The following is a 16,055-nucleotide window of genomic DNA, read 5'->3' as shown; positions in this document are numbered from 1 at the left end:
GGTCTTTTCAAACAAGCCTCCAGTGAGGGAAATCCAGCCAGCGTGAATCTCCCTAAGCTTGGCTAGAAGGTCCAAATTCCTGGCCACTGGGCTCAACTTCCTACCCTTTAATGCTCTATTCTGAGAGTTTCCCGCAAAGCTAATGGCAATTCACCGGGCACCGTAGACAAACATTGTTTGGTGTTGTCACTGGTAAATGGATAGAGACAACGTGATGAGAGCCTCTAACCTTAGGAGACCCAAAGTCAACATGCCCCATTGTTGCTGAAGGAATGGGAGGGGTTGGAGTTACCCCTGTGTCCATGTCCTTGGAAAAGCACAGGGGACAAGTAATGGCCTGTTAGCCTCATTAGCCTGAGAGATTGTCAGCACCTTGGAGAGGAGAGGGCAAGAGCTTCAGACCCGCACCAGCCTGCCCACACTGAATGTGTCTGTGACTCAGTTACTTAACTTCTCAGAACCTCATTTCGTGATCTGTAAACTGGGGTAACAATTTCTCCAGGACACTGTGGGATTCATATGTGCAGGTTAATAGGTGTGGAAGCCATCAGAACACTTTGAAGCACTAGTGGAAATTATCTTCACTCAACTTTTAAATAAAAATCACATACTCCGCATCCTACAGTTTCATTTTATTTGCTTTCTAGGAATTTTTTCAATCTGTAAATACCACTTCTAGGACATATATAAGTAATTTTTACACAACTATGTCAGTGCATATTGAATATAGAGTGGCACAGGTTTGTAAACTTTCAACTCATTGTCTGAAGCACTGTAGAGAACAGAGAGAATGCAGCCAGACAGCCCTGGGATGGGTGTGAATGCTGTGGTGCAGCAGTGTGAAGCAGAGCGAGCCACTCCACCTCCCGGGCCTTGGTTTCCGACAGTGTGGGTGTAACAGGGTTGAGGAGGACCAAGGTCCACAGCAATCCCAGGAGGTCCCCTGCACGAGGCTGTCTTCGTCTCCAGAGCCGTGTCTCTCACAGGTACCTGTTAGATGAGCAACTTTTTTTTTTTTTTTTTTTGAGATGGAGTCTTGCTCTGTCACCCAGGCTGGAGTGCAGTGGCGTGATCTGGGTGACAGAGCGAGACTCCATCTCAAAGAAAAAAAAAATTATTAAGAGGCCAAAAGAGCTGATGTTTATGTGTTTCATACTATCAATATTTATCATAGTAGAAATTGTTTAAACTAAACATTTATTTATTTAAAATGTAATAAATCAATCACATATTAACATAAATAATAGTAATTTAAGGAAATCAACTACTGTATGTGCCCAAACCAGATAACTTAGTGGAAAGAATGGTGTCGTTTTCATTTTATGCAAATCTATTTAATATCTGGCTTAGTGGAGATTCTGGATTCTCAATCTGCTTTTGCATTCAGTCTGTGCAGAGTATTGTTTTGGTGAAATATGAAAAGAAAATCTAGGTTCACGTAGATAGGTAGTTAAGAAATGATAGGCCGGGCACGGTGGCTCACGCCTGTAATCCCAGCACTTTGGGAGGCTGAGGCAGGCGGATCACGAGGTCAGGAGATCGAGACCATCCTGGCTAACACGGTGAAACCCAGTCTCTACTAAAAATACAAAAAATTAGCCGGGCGCGGTGGTGGGCGCCTGTAGACCCAGCTACTCGGGAGGCTGTGGAAGGAGAATGGCGTGAACCCAGGAGGAGGAGCTTGCAGTGAGCTGAGATAGCGCCACTGCACTCTGGCCTGGGCGAAAGAGCGAGACTCCATCTCAAAACAAAAAAAAAGAAATGATGGAGCACTTTTTTTTTTTTTGAGATGGAGCCTTGCACTGTCGCCCAGGCTGTCGTGGCGTGGTCTCGGCTCACTGCAAGCTCCGCTTCCCGGGTTAATGCCATTCTCCTGCCTCAGCCTCCTGAGTAGCTGGGACTACAGGCGCCTGCCACCACACTCAGCTAATTTTTTGTATTTTTTTAGTAGAGACGGAGTTTCACTGTGTTAGCCAGGATGGTCTCGATCTCCTGACCTCGTGATCCGCCCACCTTGGCCTCCCAAAATGCTGGGATTACAGGTGTGAGCCATCACGTCAGGCCGATGGAGCACTTTTAATGGCATTTTTAGATTATTGTCAATATTTTTATTTGATAATCCACCAAAACTTGACATGCGATAGTTCCTTAAAGTTTAATTACACTGTGGAATCAATGAACTTTTCCTACTCTATGTATAAAATCTGTTGGTCTCTCTAGCACACTGAATGAATCTCTTACCTATGCGTGAATCAGTAACATCATCCGTTGGTCATTTGAAAAATGTTGATTCACTGAATTAAGCAGATCTTCCAAATGTTGACTCATTTTATTATTTAATAGGAAAAAAGAAACCCCATTTGTCAATAGCGTCCCCATTCTCTTCACAAGAGTCTCTATGAGCCGACCAATACACAAGTGTGAAAGACCACAGCCTGTCAGTTGCTCCTTCCCTGGCAAAGGCTGTCTGTTCAGCTCCAAGGCAAGGATCACACAAGCGCTTCTGTTCAGACAGCATGTGCCATTCAGCAAGCGCCATTCAGCAAGCAGCAAAGGGGCTTTCTGTGCCCTTCCAATTGCAACCCACAGGATATATTTAAGAGATCTGTACTCAGGGGCTCGACCTTTGATCAATAGTGTTCACTGTTTAATCAGAAACTGAGTTTTCTTACTCTAAGTTTGTGGCAGTAACGAACTCTGTGTTGAAGAAAACAGTCAAACTCTGTAAAATATTTGAAAAGATTTATTCTGAGCCAAATATGAGTGACCATGGCCCATGACACAGCCCTCAGGAGATCTTGAGAACGTGTGTCCAAGGTGGTCCGGGTGCAGCTTGGTTTTATACATTTTAGGGAGACATGAGACTTCAATCAAATACATTGAAGAAATACATTGGTTCGGTACAGAAAGGTGGGACAACTTGAAGCAGGAAGCGGGGGTGCTTACAGGTTATAAGTACATTTACAATTTTTCTAATTGGCAATTGGTTGAAAGAGTTATCAGTAGAAAGGAATGTCTGGGTTGCGATAAGAGATTGTGGAGACTAAAGTTTTTTTCATGCAGATGAAGCCTCCAGGTAGCAGGCTTCATCTGCAGGAGAATACATTACAGTAGATTGTAAATGTTTCTTCTTTCTTGTCTTTCTTTCTTTCTTTCTTTCTTTCTTTCTTTCTTTCTTTCTTTCTTTCTTTCTTTCTTTCTCTCTCTTTCTTTTTCTCTCTCTCTCTCCCTCCCTCCCTCCCTCCCTCCCTCTCTCTCTCTCTTTCTTTTTTTTTTTGAGACAGAGTCTTGCTCTGTCACCCGGGCTAGAGTGCAGTGGCACACTCTCGGCTCATTGTAAGCTCCGCCTCCCGGGTTCATGTCATTCTCCTGCCTCAGCCTTGCGAGTAGCTGGGACTACAGGCGCCTGCCACCACGCCCAGCTAATTTTTGTATTTTTTAGTAGAGACGGGGTTTCAACGTGTTAGCCAGGATGGTCTCGATTTCCTGACCTCGTGATCTGCCTGCCTCGGCCTCCCAAAGCGCTGGGATTACAGACGTGAGCCACCGCGCCCGGCCTCTTTTTTTTGACACTAAGTCTCACTCTGTCTCCCAGGCTGGAGTGCAGTGGCGTGATCTCGGCTCCCTGCAACATCTGCCTCCCACGTTCAAGCAATTCTCCTGTCTCAGTCTCCCAAGTAGCTGGGATTACAGGGACGCACCACCACACCTGGCTAATTTTTGTGTTTTTAGTAGAGACGGGGTTTCTCCATGTTGGCCAGGCTAGTCTTGAACTCCTGGCCTCAGGTGATCCACTTGCCTTGGCCTCCCAAAGTGTTGGGATTACAGGCGTGAGCCACCAAACCGGCCTGTAAATGTTTCTTGTCAGACTTAAAGTCTGCGTTGATGTTGGTGCCTGAGAGGGAAAATGAGGCGTGCCCAACCCCCTCTCCCCGTCATGGCCTGAACCAGTCTTTCAGGTTAAATATAAGAGTTCCCTGGCCTAGGAGGAAGTCCATTCTGAGGGTTGGGGGGCTTAGACTTTTATTTTAGGTTTACAGTGTCAGTGACCACATTCACACTGAGACACCAGCAGTATCAGACACCATTGCTTTTGCACCATCAGTGAAAATCTAAACACAGTGAAAAGGGCAAAGAACATTGTCCTGGTATGGGAAGGACAGTAATCCCCTGAGGAGCTCTCAAGGACCCTCAGGTATCCACAGCCCACATTTTGAGAACAACTGATATATGCACAACCATTAATGTTCTCTAGACAGCTAAAGCGTTTTGTTTTTGTTTTTGTTTTTTGTTTTCTTGGGTTTTTTTTTTTTTTTTATTTTTAGACAGAGTCTCTCTGTGTCTCCAAGTCTGGAGTGCAATGGCGCAATCTCGGCTCACTGCAACCTCCGCCTCCCGGGTTCAAGCAATTCTCCTGCCTCAGCCTCCCAAGTAGCTGGGATTACAGGCATGTGCCACTACAACTGGCTAATTTTTGTATTTTTAGTAAAGAGGGGGTTTCACCATATTGGCCCGGCTGGTCTCGAACTCTTGACCTCAGGTGATCTGCCCGCCTCAGCCTCCCAAAGTGCTAGGATTACAGGCATGAGTCACAGTGCCCAGCTAAAGGGGGTGTTTATGCATTAGAATTCTAATTAGCCTGCCTCGTCAGAATTAGACAAGGAATATATTTCAGTTGCTGCAGAAGTCAACACCTAGTAAGGAAACACTCAGTGAGTGTCTTAGCCAGCCCTGCTCCCATGGCTTTGCGGGGCACAGCCCATGCAGCTGCTCTCATGGGTTGGAGTTTGGTGCTGGCAGCTTTTCCAGGCTGAGGTTTCATATTGTTGGTGGCTTTCCCATTCCAGGTTTTCAGTGGTGACCCTGGCCCCATAGTTCCACCAGGCATTGCCCCAGGAGGGACTCTATGGTGGCTGTGCCCCACAGCAGTTTTCTGCCTTGGACCCTAGATTTTCAGAAACATCCTCTGAAATCAAAAAGGAAGCTGCCAAGCCTCTACAGCTCTCGCCTTCTAGGTGCCTGCAGACTTGACATCACATGGACATCTCCAAGGCTTACAACTTGAGTTCTCAGGAGCTGTGTCCTCAGCCATTTGCGTGCTATGCAAATGGCACACCTGGTCCAGCCAATCTTTCATGTGCTTTGTAAATCAGACACTGCCTCCTCAAGCTCATCTATAAAACCTCCTACATTTCACCACAGCAACCCATTTTTCTCTGAGACCCCTCTTTGCACAGAGATCTCTTCTTTTTCTTTCGCCTATTAAACTTCTGAGTTTAACCTCACTCTGGTGTGTAAGCATCCTAGTTTTCCATGGCCATGGGACAAGGAACCTCAGGTTTTATCCCAGACAATGACACCACTTTAATATCTCAGCCAATTGTGCCACCGCTGCTCCAGGCTGGATCCAGGGAACAGCTTCCTGAGGCTACACAGGGCATCAGGGTCCCAGGCCCATCCCCCCAAATTATTCTGCCTTTTCAGGCATCTGGGCAGATGGGAGGGGCAGGCCTCAGGGATCTCCGAAATGCCTCTCCAGCCTTTTCCCATTGTCCTTTTTTTTTTTTTTTTTTGAGACGGAGTCTCACTCTGTCATCTAGGCTGGAGTGCAGTGGCTCCAGCTCTGCTCACTGCAACCTTCACCTCCCTGGCCAAGCGATTACCCGCCTTAGCCTCCTGAGTAGCTGGCATTACAGGCGCCCGCCACCAAACCCAGGTAATTTTTGTGTTTTTAGTAGAGACAAGGCCTCACTATGTTGGCCAGGCTGGTCTCCAACTCCTGACCTCAGATGATCAGCCCACCTCGGTCTCCTAAAGTGCTAGGATTACAGGCGTGAGCCACCATGCCCAGCCCCCATTTTTCTTACTGTTACCACTTGGCTCCCTTTTCACCCCCAGTCATCTCCTCAGCAAGTGATTACTCTGCTGAACTCTTAAATTCCTCTCCTGAAAATGCCCTTTCATTCTCTGCCACATGGCCAGGCTGGAAATTTTCCAAATTTCTATGCTTCCCTTTTAATTGTAAATTCTGCCTTCAGGTCATTCTTTTGCTGCCATAACTGAGCATAAGCTGTTGAAAGTAACCACACCACTTCTTGAGTGATTTGCTGCTTAGAAATTTCATCCGCCAGATTATCTTAGGTCATCCCTCTTAAGTTCAACCTTCCATAAAGCCTTAGGGCATAAATACAAATATTTGTAACAAGTGTGACCTTTGTTCCAGTTTCCAAATAGATACTTCCCATTTCCATCTGTGACCTTATCAGAATGGCCTTTACTGTCCATAATTCTATAAACATTTTGGTCACAATAACTTAACTAGTCTCCAAGAAATTCCAAACTTACCCTAATCTCTTTGTCTTCTTTGGGCCCTCACCAGAATTATCCTTAATGCCCACTTCAGGGCAATGCAGTGCTTTTCTAGCCAGCTCCTCCAAACTCTTTCAACCTGTGGCCATTTCCCAGTTCCACACTGGCTTCCACATTTTCAAGTACCTTTATAAAAAGACCCCACTGCTCAATACCAATCTTCCATCATAGTCTATTTTGTGTCGCTAAAACAGAATACTTGAGTCTGGGTAATGTATAAAGAAAAGAGGTTTATTTAGCTCACAGTTCTGCAGGCTGAGAAGTTCAAGAGCATGGCCCTGGTTTCTGGTGAGAGCTTTTGTGCTGCATCATAACATACATGATGAAGAAGGTCAAAGGGCAAGAAGACACACCTGAAGAAACAAAATGCAAGAAGCATTCTGTCTGTTTAACAGTCAACTTTTGCGGGAACTAATTCATTCTGTGGGAAATTATCCAGGCTCATCAGAGTGAGAACTCATCACCACAAGAACAGTACCAAGACATTCACGAGGGATCCATCCCCATGACCCAAACACCTCCCGCTAGGCCCCATCTCCCAAAGCCACTGCACCGATGGTAGAGATGAATAAGCCCATTTCCAAACCATAGCAGGTAACTGCAGAGCTATGACATCCACAGATAACGAACATGACAAAACCTCACGGCACAGAGGAGTGCCATGTGGTTTGGAGGAGAGCGTAGAGAAGTTTGCAGTGGATCTGCTTCACTCCATCTATAAATTCAAATGCTAATCTTTTCTGCAAACACCCTCACAGACACACCAGAACTAATGTTTTACCAATTACCTAGGTATCCCTTAGCCCAGTCAAGTTGACACATGAAACTGTCACAAGCACAAACCACATCTGTCTCTCTAGTGCTTTTTCCCTAAGCACCAAGCACTATACCCAGCACAGAAAAGACATCCAATACATATGTGTTCTATAGAATGGAAAGGAATGTTTTTCCACCATCTTGAATCAGGCACTTGACCCAGGGGTTACATAGCCATTGCACAATTCCTTCAGTGCTATAAGAATGGGCTATAACTGGCCAGGCGCGGTGGCTCACTCCTGTAATCCCAGCACTTTGGGAGGCCGAGGTGGGTGGATTACGAGGTCAGGAGATCGAGACCATCCTGGCTAACACGGTGAAACCCCATCTCTACTAAAAATACAAAAAATTAGCCAGGCGAGGTGGCGGGTGCCTGTAGTCCCAGCTGCTGAGGCAGGAGAATGGCATGAACCCTAGAGGGTGGAGCCTGCAGTGAGCCGAGATCGCACCACTGCACTCCAGCCTGGGTGACATCAAGACTCCGTCTCAAAAAAAAAAAAAAAAAAAAGAATAGGCTATAACTGGGCCAGGTGCAGTGGCTCATTGGCTCATGCCTGTAATCCCAGTACTTTAGGAGCCTGAGGTGGGCAGATCACGAGGTCAGGAGATTGAAACCATCCTGGCTAACACAGTGAAACCCCGTCTCTACTAAAAGCACAAAAAATTAGCTGGGCGTGGTGGCGGGCGCCTGTAGTCCCAGCTACTCGCAAGGCTGAGGCAGAAGAATGGCATGAACCCGGGAGGCAGAGCTTGCAGTGAGCCGAGATTGCGCCACTGCACTCCAGCCTAGGCAACAGAGTGAGACTCTGTCTCAAAAAAAAAAAAAAAAAAAAAAAAAAAAGAATGGGCGATAACTGTTATTGCACCCATTCAATACACAGGCAGACTGAGACAGCAAAGTCAAGATTTGAACGCAAGAGCAAGATTTGAGAAACTGAGGCATTTTTACTCTTCTGTGCTGCCTTACTTGTTGGCAGTACACATGAAAGACATCAAGATTTAGATCTGTGTCAGCTTTCCCTCAAATGGTAAAGAAGGACAGGGTTTGAATTTCTTGGTGAACTTGGAAATACCCGATGACTTGAACCATTAGGGTTTAGGATACTTTTTCTTCAGGCAGCATGTTGCCTCCTATGCATAAATTAAGTCAATTCAGTATTCCCAGTATGGCTGGAAAAACATCATACTAAGCTAACAATTTTCAGTGTCATTTAAGAATTGCACTGAGGTGGCCAGGCACGGTGGCTCACGCCTATAATCCCAGCACTTTGGGAGGCTGAGGTGGGCGGATTGCAAGGTCAGGAGTTCAAGACCAGCCTGGCCAATATGGTGAAAACCCGTCTCTACTAAAAATACAAAAATTAGCCAGGTGTGGTGGTGGGTGCCTGTAATCCCAGCTACTCAGGAGGCTGAGGCAGGAGAACCACTTGAACCAGGGAGGTGGAGGTTGCAGTGAGCCAAGATCACGCCACTGCACCCCGGCCTGGGTGACAGAAAGAGACTCTGTCTCAAAAAACAAAAAAAATTTTGCATTGAGGCCAAGTGTGGTGGCTCATGCTTGTAATCCCAGCTTTTAGGGAGGCCAAGGCAGGAGGATTGCTTTGGCTCACAATCCCTTAAAGCTGCCGTTTCTCTCCTGTGTTACAATGTGCACAGTGACTGCACTGATCAGTCACCACTGGGATGTGCTTGAGTGTGTATGTTTGTCTGAGTGTGTATGCTAATATGTATAAAAGTTTGTGTGTGTGAGGGAGTGTGAGTACATGAGAGTGCATGTGAATGTGTGAGTCTGTAAGAGAGTGTGTGTCTGTGGGGCATGTGAGAGCATTGTGAGAGTATGTGTGCATGTGTGTATGTGTGCACAATTGTGTGAGAGCATTGTGAGGGTATGTGTGCATGTGTGTGAGAGTATGTGTGCATGTGTGTATGTGTGTGTGCATGAGCGTGTGAATGCAGGTGTGTTTTCTGCTCTGCTCTGATCACTTTTCTACCTGGCCTCTCTTCCTTCACATTTGCCCCCCAGAATCCCTTCTCCACACAACACCTGAATTCTCTGTTTGTAGAGCTGATAATACCCTATGATTCCCCTGCCTAAAATCCTCCAGCAGCTTCCACCTGACTTCTAACTAAAACCCAGCTCCTCACCGTGCCCCATAGGCCCTAGCTCAGTGAGGTGGGGCGCCTGCCTGCTGCTCAGAGCCTGGCTCTGCCTCTCTCCCCTCCTGCTTGCCCCAACCACCATGAGCTTTTGTCCAGCCTGGGAGGGACCAAGCTTTTTGGCACTGTAAGGACTTCGTGTGTCCTCCCAGCCCAGACCCCCAGAATGCTTTGTCCTCTGGCTGGTGCGAGTGTTAGGAAAGTCCGCATCTTCAGAGAGGCCTTTGACCCCGTCCATATGGACTGATTACCTCCATCTCCCACTTCTAGAATGTAAGCTCATGAGGCAGAGCCTAGTGGGTCGTGTTCCTGGCCATACCTCCAGGGCCTGGCATAAAGCAGGCCCCCGCAGACCCCCAAGAATCTCTATGAAGGCCAGTGGTGGATGCACCAGGCTGGGAATCGGAGTCTGCCCCTGCAGTTGCCGTCGTCCAGCACCTTAGACCCTCTGAGCCTCGGTTGCTCCATTTTTCTTTTTCTTTTCTTTCTTTTTTTTTTTTTTTTTTTTTTTGAGACGGAGTCTCACTCTGTCGCCCAGGCTGGAGTGCAGTGGCGCAGTCTCGGCTTACTGCAACCTCCACCTCCCAGGTTCAAGCGATTCTCCTGCCTCAGCCTCCCAAGTAGCTGGGATTACAGGTGTGTGCCACCATGTCAGGCTAATTTTTTGTATTTTTAGTAGAGACGTGGTTTCACCATGTTAGCCAGGATGGTCTCGATCTCCTGACCTTGTGATCCACCTGCCTTGGCCTCCCAAAGTACTGGGATTACAGGTGTAAGCCACTGCACCTGGCCCGGGTTGCTCCATTTTTCATCCTTCCACACTCTCCGGGCCCCTCCTCAGACCAGGCCCTAAGACTGCAGGAGCCAGCGTGTGCAGGCCCCCATAAAATCAGAGGCTACTTCTGCAGCAATCCACTGAAAACGGAGTGAACAGACTGCATAAACCAGTGTTCATTCACAGGCTCTTAAGGCACTAAATGTAAATTAGATAAATGGTGCAATGCCTAATTTCATTCCTACCGTGCTTTTTCTTAGGTTAATTTGGTGGGGTAGAAACGCACCTGTATCTACAGCCTTTGTCCATCACCCACCTGTTCCTGTTGGAGGGGAGTGATGGATGGCCGATGAGATGAGGTTCCTTTTATTCCATATGGCCACACATTATCCCCTTCAAGCCTACCCTTTGCAATGACCATTCAATCTGTCTTTCTAGCTGGGGACTCAGGCCACCAGGTCCCTTTGGTTTCTCCTGGGCCTTTGTAAGATGCCCCTTTGATGTGTTCTTTCTCGTTTGTTTAAACACCACCATGGGATTCTTGCAGGCTGCAATCCAGAGACCAACTGGGTGGCCTTGCTTTTTTATGCAGAAGTGTTGAGAAAGACCTGTCAAACCCTGGGGATAATTAGCCTTTATTGCTTCTCATTAAGACACAGATTGTCACTCAGCACAGATGTGACCCATGGGGCTGAGGCGGCTGCTTCTATGGCCTCCTGCCTTTCTCAGTTACCTGATTGGGAGAAAACTTTGATTTCCATCTTCACATTCCTTAGGTGAAACGTCACCATTGTTTCCCCACATGATGAGTGTATATTTTCTTCAAGGAACATAGTCAGAACCTAAATGTTATATGATGTGGTCTGGCTGTGTGAGAACAAACAACTAATCAATTGGGAGGAAAAAGTAAAATAGCAATTATAGGTTAATGAAACTTCTACTCTCAGACTGATCGATACTGACTTTTCTTTTTAATTTTTGTATCTGGAGATAATTGTAGATCCCCAGGAACTTGCAAAGATAGCAGAGAGAACGCCCATACACGCCTCACCCAGTTCCCCCAATCTTTCATAACTATAGCACAATGTCAAAGCCAGAAAATGGGCGCTGCTTCAGTGTGTGGGTGTAGTTCTATGTCATCTTATCACACGTGAAGATTTGTGTTACCATTGCAATCCAGGCACAGAAGTGTCCCACTGCCACATAGCTCTCCCTCCTGCTACCTCTTTAGAGGTATAACCCTCTCCTCCCTCACAGCCCTAACCCCTAGCAACCACCACTCATTTGTTTTCCAAATATCACTGTGAGAGGCAAGGAAAAGGAACTCTCAGTGTGGCCAAAAGGCATGAAGAGGCATCTCACCAAAGAGGACATACAGGTGCCAAATAAGCAAATGAAAAGGCATCAGTGGGGCCTTTAAGGAAGTGGAAGATCAGATCACATGAGATATTGCTGCTCACCTATCTTCATGGCTAACATGAAAAACAGGACCCACACCACACGCGGGTGAGGCTGCGGAGACACTGGCTCCCTCAAACATTGCTAGAACGTGGTGCAGCCCCTCTGGGATTTTCTTTTTACCAACATGAATCTTTTTAGCTTTCATTCAATTACACAAAGCTCCCCAAATAGTAGGTCATTCAGCCTTGCCTATAACCAGAGCTTTTGTAGACTTGAGAACACTAACAAAAAAAATTCCCATACCATCCAGGCCAGTCTTGCTCTAACAGTGTGGTTTGATGAATCTGGGTCAGGCCTGGGCACTGAGCTCACCACCGACACTGCGGGGGACTCTAAAGCACAGCCAGGCCGGGCGCGGTGGCTCACGCCTGTAATCCCAGCACTTTGGGAGGCCGAGATGGGTGGATCACTTGAGGTCAGGAGTTCAAAACCAGCCTGGCCAACAAGGTGAAACCCCGACTCTACTAAAAATAGAAAAAAAATTAGCCAGGCATGGTGATGGGGGCCTGTAATCCCAGCTACTTGGGAGGCTGAGGCAGGAGAATTGCTTGAACCTGGGAAGCGGAGGTTGCAGTGAGCAGAGACGGCACCACTGCACTCCAGCTTGGGAGACTCCGTCTCAAAAAAATAAATAAATAAATAAATAAATAAATAAATAAAAATAAAGCGCAGCCAGAACTGGGATCCATAGATCTCAGCAGCTGAGCTTGATGCACACCCCGAGGGACCAAGTGCTGTCCCTTCGTTCTCTCCCCGACCCCCAGGCTGTGTGCTCCCTGGACTCTGTGCCCAGCCCCGGGGGGTTAGGCGGGTTCCCAAATGCCATGGCTCAACCTTCCACGTATGCCTATGTGTTCTGATGCTTAGAAGGCCCTGGCCTCCAATCTGGCAGACTCCGGCCTATCTACCCCTTCGGAGCCCCCCCAGAGCCCTCCCCTCACTCCACCGCCGTGCATGCCGTTTTGAATTCTAGTTGCCTATGGAAACCTCTCTTCTGCACTAGACCCTAAAGGGCAGGGTCCACATCTGACTCCTCCCGTGCCCCCAACCTCTGGTACACAGAAGATGCTCAATAATGTCTGTAAGCTAAGCCCTTAGTAAGCCTGGTGAGGAGAGTGTTCATGTAAGCCCCATTTTGTAGAAGAGAGGACACGTAGATGGGTGAAGCCTGGGTTCCTGAGGAAGACGTTGGATTTTCCTCATTCCTAGGCAATGCATGCCTGTTGTGGAAAACTCAAAAAATATACTCAAGGAAGTTAAAAAATGTAAGCCCTACACAATCCCACCATCACCGCCAATGGGCTGCTGTTGTAACTTTCCAGATGCTGTGCTGTGACAGCCTTGAATTTGCATATTGCTAAAAGGAAGTGTCAAGTTTAGGCTAAGAAACAAATGAATGTCAAAAGTGGAAGCACAGAGCTTGAAGTTCAAGGTCAGCAGAGTCTCGCTGCAGGTGTCATCTGTGGGGAGCGAAGGCGTCTGGACCCAGCTGTGAATCCTGCTCAGTGCCCGCCTGGGCTGTACCTGCTTTGCAAACTGGCGCTCTCATATGCATGTTAACAAGCACACTGGGGCCCTCCCTGTTTTTACATATTTGTTTTTTTGTTTGTTTTGTTTTTTGGTTTTTTTTTTTTTTTTTTTTGAGGTAGAGTCTCACTCTGTCACCCAAGGTGGAGTGCAGTAGCGCGATCTCAGCTCACTGCAACCTCCACCTCCTGGGTTTAAGCATTTTCCCCTGCCTTGTGCCTCCCGAGTAGCTGGGATTACAGGCATGAACCACCACACCTGGCTAATTTTTTTGTATTTTTAGTAGGGACGGGGTTTCACCATGTTGGCCAGGCTGGTCTCAAACTCCTGACCTCAGGCAATCCACCTGCCTCGGCCTCCCAAAGTGCTGGGATTACAGGTGTGAGCCACCACACCCAGTCTTGTTTTTACATATTAAAAATACCCAATCTGGGCCTGGCCTGGTGTAAAAAAAAAAAAAAAAAAAAAAAAAGGATCTTTCCTGAGAACTTGTATTACTTCAGTATCACCCAGTCTCTGCCCACAGCCTCAGGGGAGAAGCTTTGAGCACAGGTTTTACAGAGCGTGAGAGACCCTTGGGCCTGGGAGAGCCTTGGGAAAGGAACATAAACTTGAAGGGAAAAAAGCAAGGCTCAGAAGTCAACACAAAGTGTGATAGCATTTCTAGAAAGTCCCACATAAGCCTGACTAAGCAATTTATTGTTTGGGGATACACGCATGTTACAACTTTTTTTTTTTTTTGAGAAAAGATCTCACTTTGTTGCCCAGGCTGGAGTACAGTGGCGAGATCATGGCTCACTGTAATCGCAACCTCCCGGACTTGAGCCGTCCTCCCACCTCAGCTTCCCCAGTAGCTGAGACCACAGGCATGCACCACCGTGGCCGGCTAATTGTTTTATTTTTATCTTTTAGTAGAGACAGGGTCTCTCTATGTTGCCCAGGCTGGTCTCAAACTCCTGGGCTCAAGCAGTCCTCCCTCGTTGGCCTTTCAAAGTGCTGAGATGACAGGTGTGAGCCACCGAGCCCGGCCAACAAGTTTTTTTAAGTGAAGGAAAACGAAAAACAAATTTCAGATTGGGGAACAGCTAGAGGCAGCCACAGGAACAACTTGCAGTGGGTGTTGGGCAGCAGGCTGAGTCACTCCCTGGCTCCACTGGGCTGTGTCATGTGCACACGCTTCATGTATGCCTTAAGTGACGTTCAAAAGAACACAATGCCACATGAAGCCTAACTCAGCAAGCCCTTTCTGTAAGAGGAGAAATAACTACCCCTGCTCTTGCCCACTTTCTTTCAACAGGGGCCAGCATCACCTGCTCCCCTCCCCCATCTCTATGTTCCATCTCTGGCAGCCTCTGCACAAAGGTGTCCTCCAGGAGGCCAGGTGGGCACCAAGGTTCTTGAAAAGAAAGGAAAGGGAAGCGCAGTGTTCCACAGCTGGTTCCCAAGAAAACAGCAAAACAACTGCGCACTCATTCTGAAGGACGGCAGACAAGACGGTTCCTCAACACATGAACTGGTTTTTCTTGATGAGTGATGGGTTTTTGACCCATTCCTGCTGCCCCTTCTGGGAAAACTGGGCAGCCCCAGGCTGTGTCAATGTCACCAGCTGAATTGTGTTACCCAAAATTCCAAGACTGAAGTCCTAACCAGAATCTCAGGATGTGACCTTCTTTGGAGATAGGGCCTTTACCAGGAAATTAAGGTAAAATGAGGCATTACGGTGGGCCTTAATCCAATGACTGGTGTCCTTATAACAAGAGGAGATTGGGACACAGGCTTACACACACATCCTTAGGGAAGAGGGAGGAGACAGCTATCTACCATCCGAGGAGAGATGCCTCAGGAGAAACCAAACCTGCCAACACCTTAGTCTCTGCCTTGCTGCCTCCAGGACTGCGAGGAAATTCATTTCTGAGGGTTCAGCCACCCAGCCTGCAGCACCTGCTATGACATCCTCGGAAAATGAAGACTGTGTGCCCTTTTTTCTACCTCCTGTGGTTCGAGGGCAGACCCAAGCCCGGGATAAAGCACGCTAGGTTTGGAATTCACTCCCACACTCCTTAAGATAGTTCCTACATAACCTTTGCTGAATTCCTCTAGCTTTCCATGCCTCTGTTTTCTCACTGGTAAAGTTGGGATCCTACGGCCTTCATCATGAAAGCTGTTAAGAAGATTGAGTTCATGTGAAGTTTAGAACAATGCCTGATACAGAGAAGCACTCAATAATGATGTTGGCTCCTACTACTATTTTTATTAGGAGACTTTTATTCATTAAGCAAGTATTTATTGAGCATCTGCTATGCCCTAGGGACAAACAGACCTAGATGACACTCATCTGGTTTAGTTGAATGGACCTAGCTGCAGGTACTACTTGGCCTGGAGGGGATCCGTCGGTATCCTCTTGGCTCCAGGAGCATCTCCTATTGCTGCACCCCAAGGGCCTGAATTGTTGCTGGTGTACATTAGGCACTCAACAACTGCACAGTGAAACAAAGCCAGAAGGCTGACCCCCATTGGCTCAGTCCAGCCCTTTCCTTGCTACTGCTCAGATAGAGCTTGGAGCCTCCCTCTTGCGCAGCTGGGCAAGGCCAGGGCAGCTCTCACTTTTCGGCAAACCCTGCCCCTTCCTCGGTCCCCAGGTTCAGTGGTCCCTGGAGCCCACTCCCTGATGTCCTCTTCCTCACACAAAGATCCTGAAAGGCAACCTTAATTCCCACAGCCTACTCCTGGCCTTTGCTACATTCATTCATCCATTTGACTCACTCTTTTTTTTTTTTTTTTTTTTTTTTTTGAGCTGGAGTCTCGCACTGTCGCCCAGGCTGGAGTGCAGTGGTGCAATCTCAGCTCACTGCAACCTCTGCCTCCCGGGTTCAAGTGATTCTCCTGCCTCAGCCTCCCGAGTAGCTGGGATTATAGGCGCCTGCCACCACACCCAGCTAACATTTTGTAT

General features: G+C 47.5%; 3 annotated features.

Moving 5' to 3' along the window:
• Positions 1,252-1,765: an enhancer, noted in NCBI's record as "H3K4me1 hESC enhancer chr7:47721760-47722273 (GRCh37/hg19 assembly coordinates)". NCBI's record gives its function as "activates a minimal SCP1, AML or CMV promoter by ChIP-STARR-seq in naive H9 embryonic stem cells {active_cell/tissue: H9 hESC(naive)}" and the evidence as "EXISTENCE:reporter gene assay evidence [ECO:0000049][PMID:30033119]".
• Positions 3,310-3,823: an enhancer, noted in NCBI's record as "H3K27ac hESC enhancer chr7:47719702-47720215 (GRCh37/hg19 assembly coordinates)". NCBI's record gives its function as "activates a minimal SCP1, AML or CMV promoter by ChIP-STARR-seq in primed H9 embryonic stem cells {active_cell/tissue: H9 hESC(primed)}" and the evidence as "EXISTENCE:reporter gene assay evidence [ECO:0000049][PMID:30033119]".
• Positions 10,855-11,733: an enhancer, noted in NCBI's record as "OCT4-NANOG-H3K27ac-H3K4me1 hESC enhancer chr7:47711792-47712670 (GRCh37/hg19 assembly coordinates)". NCBI's record gives its function as "activates a minimal SCP1, AML or CMV promoter by ChIP-STARR-seq in naive H9 embryonic stem cells {active_cell/tissue: H9 hESC(naive)}" and the evidence as "EXISTENCE:reporter gene assay evidence [ECO:0000049][PMID:30033119]".

The sequence above is a fragment of the Homo sapiens genome, chromosome 7 (genome assembly GCF_000001405.40).
Source record: "Homo sapiens chromosome 7, GRCh38.p14 Primary Assembly".
NCBI lineage: Eukaryota > Metazoa > Chordata > Mammalia > Primates > Hominidae > Homo > Homo sapiens.
Note: the sequence above shows the minus strand (reverse complement) of the source record. Positions and strands in the feature narration are given on the sequence as shown.